Here is a 7,301-nt window from a genome sequence, read left to right on the forward strand (position 1 = left end):
TCTCTCCATTCCCATCTCCATCTGTGTCTTCCCTTTCCCAACCTTTTGTTTCTTTCTAAAATCTGATGTAACCTCCCTCCCAACCCACCAACAAACCCTCTTTGTATGTAAAACCACATTCTTGAACTGGGAAGATTTGACTTATTATCCATTTAAAATGTAAATGTCTAAGTGGACACTCTAATTTTTGGCAGGTCATGAGTTACTTAAACATGTTACCAAAGGGGGCCCAAGTAGAGACTGTTCCTGTTTGTGTCAGCCAGGCAAGACTTACCTTTGTCTTGTAAATGGTGGGCTGTACTCTCCTTGCCTTATGAAGTTCAACCTGTTACAGGCTGCACCTGTCTTTTATCACATATGACTTTAGGTCACATTATCTCATTTCTGCTGAATGGGTGGCTGCACATGCACAGTGCACATACACATTTGTATGTATCTAGTTATCATGTATATTTATTTAAATTTCACAAATGATGAATAACCATAGAAAAATAAACAGATAAAAAGCAATAGACAAAACCACAACAAACCAAACCATATGAAATCTCATCCAGAGAAAGCCACTGTTGCACTTCATTAAATATAGTTGGAGATCTTTTCCTAGGCAAAGATATATTTGTGTATGTGTATGCATATTTGTGTTAACAAAATAAAACCATACCAAATTTACTGCTTTGTAACTTTTTTTCACTCAATGATATTTTACGGTTATTCTCTCATGTCAGTAATTGTGGCTCTATATCTTGTTTTTGAATGTCTGCATAGTGTTTTATTGTGCATCATCCCCATACCAATAAGGGCTTGTATTGTTTTCAGTTTTTGCTATTATAAACATCAGGTTGATAGACATCTTTGCAGATACATCTTTGTGCATTTGTTCATTGATTTTCTTTGTATTAATTCCTAGAAGGGGGATTTCTGAATCAATGGTTTTGGGATTCTTTTGACATATATTGCCAGACAACACTCCAGAAAGGTTGTACCAATGGACATGCCTGCCAGAAACCTTACTAAAAATTTTTTAGAGGAATAATTTATACAAAGTAAAGTGCATAAACCTGAAGTACACTGCTCAATGAATTTTTGCAAATGTACATACCAGTGTGAAATGGTTTGTCTCTCTGTCTCCACCCAAATCTCGTGTCAAATTTTAATTCCCAGTGTTGGAGGAGAGGCCTTGTGGGAGGTGACTGAATCACTGGGGCAGACTTCTCCCTTGCTGTTATTGTGATAGAGTTCTTATGAGACCTGGTTGTTTGGAACTGTGTAGCACCTCCCCCTTCACTTTTTCTTTCTCCTGCTGGTCATGTAGGACGTGCCAGCTTCCCTTTCCCCTTCTGCCATGATTGTAAGTTTCCTGAGGCCTCCCCAGCCATGCTTTCTGTACAGCCTGCAAAACTGCAAGTCAATAAAACCTCTTCTTTATAAATTACCCAGACTCAGGTAGTTCTTTATAGCTGTGCAAGCATGGACTAATACAGAAAATTGGTACCAGAAAAGTGGAACATTGTTGTAAAAATAACTGAAAATGTGGAAGCAGTTTTGGAACTGGGTAATGGACAGAGGTTGGAACTGTTTGGAGGGCTCAAAAGACAGGAAGATGAGGGAAAGTTTGGAACTTCTTAGAGACTTGTTGAATGGTTTTGACCAAAATGCTGATAGGGAAATGGACAGAGATGGCCAGGCTGATGAGGTCTCAGATGGAGATGAGAAAGTGACTGGGAACTGTAGTAAATGTCACTCTTTCTATGCTTTAGCAAAGAGACTGGCAGCATTGTGCCCCTGCTCTAGAGATCTGTGCAACTTTGAACTTGAGAGAGATGATTTAGGGATCTGGTGGAAGAAATTTCTAAGCAGCAAAGCATTCAAGATGTAACTTGGCTGCTTCTAACAGTGTAAGCTCATATGTGTTTGCAAAGAGATGGTCTGAAATTGGAACTTTATTTAAAAGGGAAGTAGAGCACAAAAGTTTGGAAAATTTGCAGCCTGACCATGTGGTAGAAAAGAAGAACCTATTTTCTGCGGAGAAATTCAAGCTGGCTGCAGAAATTTGCATAAGTAAAGAGGAGATGAATGTTAATAGCCAAGACGATGGAGAAAATGCCACCAGGGCATGTCTGAGATTTTCACAGCAGCCTCTCCCATAACAGGCCTGGAGGCCTAGCAGAGAAAAATGGTTTTTGTGGGTGAGTCCCAGGGCCCTGCTGCTCTGTACAGCATTGGGACATGGTGCCCTACATTGTGATCACTACAGCCATTGCTAAAAGAGGCCCAGGTAAAGCTCAGGCTGCTGCTCCAGAGGGTAAAAACCCTAAGCCTTGATTGCTTCCATGTGTTGGGGTGGCTTCTGTGGTGTTGGGTTTGCAGGTGTGCAAAGGGTAACAGTTGAGGCTTGGGAGCCTCCGCCTAGATTTCAGTGGAGGTATGGAAATGTCTGGATATCCAGGCAGAAGTCTGCCTCAGGATTAGAGTCCTCATAGAGAACCTCTACTAGGACAGTGCAGAGGGGAAATATGAGATTGGAGCCTCCACACAGAGTCCCCACTGGTGCAATGCCTAGTGGAGCTGTGAGAAGAAGGCCACCATCCTCCTTACCCCAGAATGCTAGATCCGCCAACAGCTTACTCTGTGCACCTGGAAAAGCCACAGGCACTCAATACCAGCCCATGAAAGCAGCCACAGAAGGTGTACTCTGCAGAGCCACAGAGGCAGAGATGCCCAAGGCCTTGGGAGCCCACTCCTTGTATCAGTGTGTCCTGGAGGTGAAACATGGAACCAAAGGAGATTATTTTGGGGATTTAAGATTTGGTGACTGCCCTGCTAAGTTTTGGACTTGCATGGGGCCTGTAGCCCCTTCGTATTGGCCAATTTCTCCCTTTTGGAACAGGAGCATTTACCCAAGGCCTATACTACCATTGTATTTTGGAAGTAACCAACTTGTTTTTGATTTTACAGGCTCATAGGTAGAAGGGATTTGCCTTGTCTCACATGAGACTTTGGACTTAGACTTTTGAGTTAAGCTGAAATGAGCTAAGACTTTGGAGGACTGATGGGAGGTCATGCTTGTGTTTTGAAATGTGAGAAAGACATAATCTTTGGTTGGGGCCAGGGACAGAATGATACGGTTGGCTCTGTGTCCCCACCCAAATCTCATGTAGAATTGTAATTCCCAGTGTTGGAGGAGGGGCTTGGCGGGAGGTGATTGAATCATGGGGGCAGACTTCCCCCTCTTCCCCCTTGCTGTTATTGTGATAGAGTTCTCATGAGATCTAGTTGTTTGAAAGTATGTATCACTTCTCCTTTTGCTCTCTCTTCCTCCTGCTGGCCATCCAGTGCCAGCTTCCCCTTCCCCTTCTGCCATGAATGTAAGTTTCCTGAGGTCTCCCTAGCCATACTTTATAGCCTGCAGAACTGTGAGTCAATTAAAACTCTTTTCTTTGTAAATTACCCAACCTCAGGTAGTTCTTTATAGCAGTTTGAGAATAGACTAGTGTAACTACCATTCAGATTGAGACACAGAACATTTTTGTTACCCCAGAAAGTTGCCCATTGAGGCAACCACTATTCTGACTTTTGCCATTATAGATTAGCTTTGTTCCTAAACTTCATGTAAATGGAATAGTATAATATATACCTTTATATGTCTGACTTTTCTTGCTCAATATAATATTTTGAGGATACATCCATATTGTTTTTTATATCAGTATTATTTTCTTAAATTTTGGGGTAGTATTTTATTATCTAAACGTGCCACAAGATTTTAAATCTGTTTTCCTTGCTGATGGATAATTGTATTGTTTCAAGTTTGAGGCCATTATGAGTTGAGTTTCTGTGAATATTGTTCCACATGTCTTTTTCTGGATATATTCATTCATTCTTATTGGGTATATATTAAATTGTGGAATTGTTGGGCCATTAGCTAGGTATATAAGTAGCTTTATTAGAGATTCCTAAATAGTTTTTCTAATTATTGAGGCAGTTTACACTATTCTCAGCAGTGTATTAAAATTTCCTGTTGCTGTTACTGGTGGTGAATCCATACGGGTCTGCAGCAAACTCAATTCTTGCCTCCCAGAAGAAAGAATTCAACTGAGGGGCATAAAGCAGAGTGAGAGACCAAGGCAAGTTTCAGAGCAGGAGTGAAAGTTTATTAAAAAGCTTTAGAGCAGGAATGAAAGGAAGTAACGTACTTGGAAGAGGGTCAGGCAGGTGACTTGAGAGATCAAGTGCACGGTTTGACCTTTCAACTTGGGGTTTTATATGCTGACATACTTCCAGGGTCTTGTGTTACTATTCCCCTGATTCTTCCCTTGGGATGGGCTGTCCGCATGCACAGTGGCCTGCTAGCCCTTGGGAGGGGAGCATGCGCAGTGTTTACTGGTGTTGTATATGTGCTCACTTGAGGTGTTCTTCCTTTACCAGTCAAATGTCCCTAAAAGGTCATATACCAGTTAAACTTCACCATGTTGCCTCTTAATGTGTGTGCTTGAGCCCACTCACTCAACTCCTGAGATCTTGTTGGGAAGCTGCTAGTCACCATGTCAAGTGTTTCTTTTTACTGGTGGATTGCCTTTCTTTGGCACTGGCTGAGACCAATTATTATTCTAGAGAGACAGTTTAACAACTGCCTGACCGTCACCTGATGGTCACCTCACATTCCTGGTAGGGGAGGGAGCTCTCTCCTGCACTGTTCATGTCTGCCTGACTACCTACTGTAACATTGTTTCACATCCTTCTCAACACTTGAAAGTAGTCCTTTTCTATCCTCCAAAGCCATTTTATTATCTTTGTGGTAGGAAACATTTATCTTCTCCCTATTTTGGTTATATGCTTAATCCAGCACTTACTAAATTTATTCATTTATTAATTTTTGTATTTAGTTAATAAATATGCATTAAACAATTATTATTGTGCCTGATATTGTATTAAGCCTTATGGGTACAAAGATGAACTCATAAGGAACTGATAATCTAGCAGATAACACAGGTATGTGATGAAGGCAACAGCATAAGCATGTACTTTTGCTGAAGCACATGGTGATACAGAGAAAGGATAATATTAAGGAGTGAAAGATGGAGGGGACAGCAAACAGGATTGTTGCATTTCCACAATAGAGATGATAATAATAGCTAGCACTTACTGAGCACACGTTCTACTAGATACTGTGCTAAGTGTTTCACATGCCTCATCCTATTTACTGTTTGGTGTAGGTTATATTATTACTATGCTCATTTTACAGTTCAGAACATTGAGACATGGAGAAGTTGAACAACTTGTCCATAGCCACACCACTAGTAAATTAGGAAGCTGCTATTCCAACCCAGGAAATTAGGCTCTGGAGCATACACTAGACTCTTGCTTAGATAACAAGATAATGTGTGAACAGAGGGGTCTTGAAAAAGGCATGCAAGGCAGTGAAAGCAGCTGTATACCAGCAGTGGGACAGAAGATAAGATGCAGTCTGGCAAGTCTGAGGAACCTCCAGTAAGAGGCCAGAGGGAATATGATAATCAGAGCCAGAAGAGATTGGAATGAAAAATGGCAGCGGCCAAACCTGCTGGGGTGGGGGTAAGGGGAAATGATGATAGAATTCCAGGGATAGCTGTTCACTGAAGGTCGCCTCTTCTTCTGCCCTATCATCACCAATCACCAAGAATATTTAAATGTTTCATCATGTTGTTGAATGAGCCATTTGGGCACACTTGCCAAATAACTGAGCATTTGAATTTCCTCGAATGGAGCAGGAAGAATTACTTGAAGGTATGTGAGCAGACCCTGGTTTCAGATATGACGGTTCCCTGCAGCGTCTGCTTGCCCGGTGCTTTCTGTTTAACACGTCCATCTGCTAGGGAGACGTCGGCTTTCACATGAGCTGAGGACAGTGTTCCCAAGCCTTCTGAAAGAGTCCAGTCATAAAAGGATAAAACCCAAGCAATGTTCTGATGTGTAGTGCAATGGGCGATGCCAGTTTTTGCTAAAATAGGATTAAGTTAAAAAACACACACTGTAAAGCATTTGTCTTGCTTAAATAATTTAACAGGTCTTGCATTCCTGTTTCAGTCAGTTTCAACAGAAACGCTTCTCTGGGGGTTGTCCTCGTGAACATCATCAGACTAATCATGTGGAAGCGCGCCTGGTGCCAGTTGGATCAGGAGAGAGCGGGTGGATGCCTTGTGGTCCTGGTGAGGATGGGAAAGGAAGCAACGTAAAGTATACCTTTGGGGAAAATGCAAACTTTTCTTGCCTGTGGAGTGTGTGTGTTAGTATTCAGAGACTGTTGGCCCATTGTTTGCGACTCCAGCCTTCTCAGCAGAATGCGTGGCAGATGGCTTACATTTGCATTAGCCTTCTGGAGAAGGAATTTGCTACCAACAACATAAGCTGCAGCTTTTCTTTTCAGAATTTACAACAAATTGGCCAGAATGGCAATTTAAAAAAAAACATTAGCATCACTATTTCCACATTCCCTTTCTGAATAGGGTAAATGATTCCCTCTCCAACTGTGTCATTTGCACTCCCCCCTCCCCAAATGTTTATTAAAATGATTTAGGTATTTCATTATGCAAAATGACTTTTATAAAAAGACCTTTCTTTTTGCCCCACAGTCACACATAATTTCTTTTGTCACTTGTTATAGAGTGGAGTTATGTGAAGCTAGGACATATTATTTGTTCTAGTCTGTATTGGATAATTTATTACATTAAGGAACCAATAATTTTCAAATATAATCAGATTTAAGTTTTTAATAAGATTCATCTTCCCATTCACACTTGCTTAATTTAAGGATATTAAATCTGCTCAGGAACGAGCTGCCTCTCAAAGCCTGTGTGCCCATTAAAGGGCTTTATTCCTGATGTGTTAATAGGATTTAATTACATTACTGTCTTCATGCAGAGTCACAGTGCAATAGTTAACTGTGATAAGCCAAGCAAACAACAGCCTGAAAAGGAAGTTGTGTGTAGTAGTTGGTTTATCGGCTTAGAAAATCAAGACGATTATTATTTTAAAATTGATGGTTGCATGCATTTGCATCATGTTTAGTTCAAATGCTGAAGAGAACAAACTTTCTCTTTTCCTGTAAAAAGAAAATCACTTAAAAGGCCACCCACATAAAAGGTGAACAATAAACACTTAACAGAAACTACTTAATTGCCATTTATCTTTTGAATTGCAATGAGATTTTTACTAGCGACTACAAAGAGATTTGTTTCAACAATTTACCCTGCTATTCTTTTGTCTTTTTGACTATTACATCCCTGATTTGGAGTTCAGAATAATAGCTGTGTTCATGGTTAAAAAGT

The 7,301-nt window shown here is 40.7% G+C and overlaps 1 annotated feature.

The window, feature by feature from the left end:
- Positions 6,028 to 6,639: an enhancer, noted in NCBI's record as "OCT4-NANOG-H3K27ac hESC enhancer chr1:95873423-95874034 (GRCh37/hg19 assembly coordinates)". NCBI's record gives its function as "activates a minimal SCP1, AML or CMV promoter by ChIP-STARR-seq in primed H9 embryonic stem cells {active_cell/tissue: H9 hESC(primed)}" and the evidence as "EXISTENCE:reporter gene assay evidence [ECO:0000049][PMID:30033119]".

Source organism: Homo sapiens, chromosome 1 (assembly GCF_000001405.40).
Source record: "Homo sapiens chromosome 1, GRCh38.p14 Primary Assembly".
NCBI classification, from domain to species: domain Eukaryota; kingdom Metazoa; phylum Chordata; class Mammalia; order Primates; family Hominidae; genus Homo; species Homo sapiens.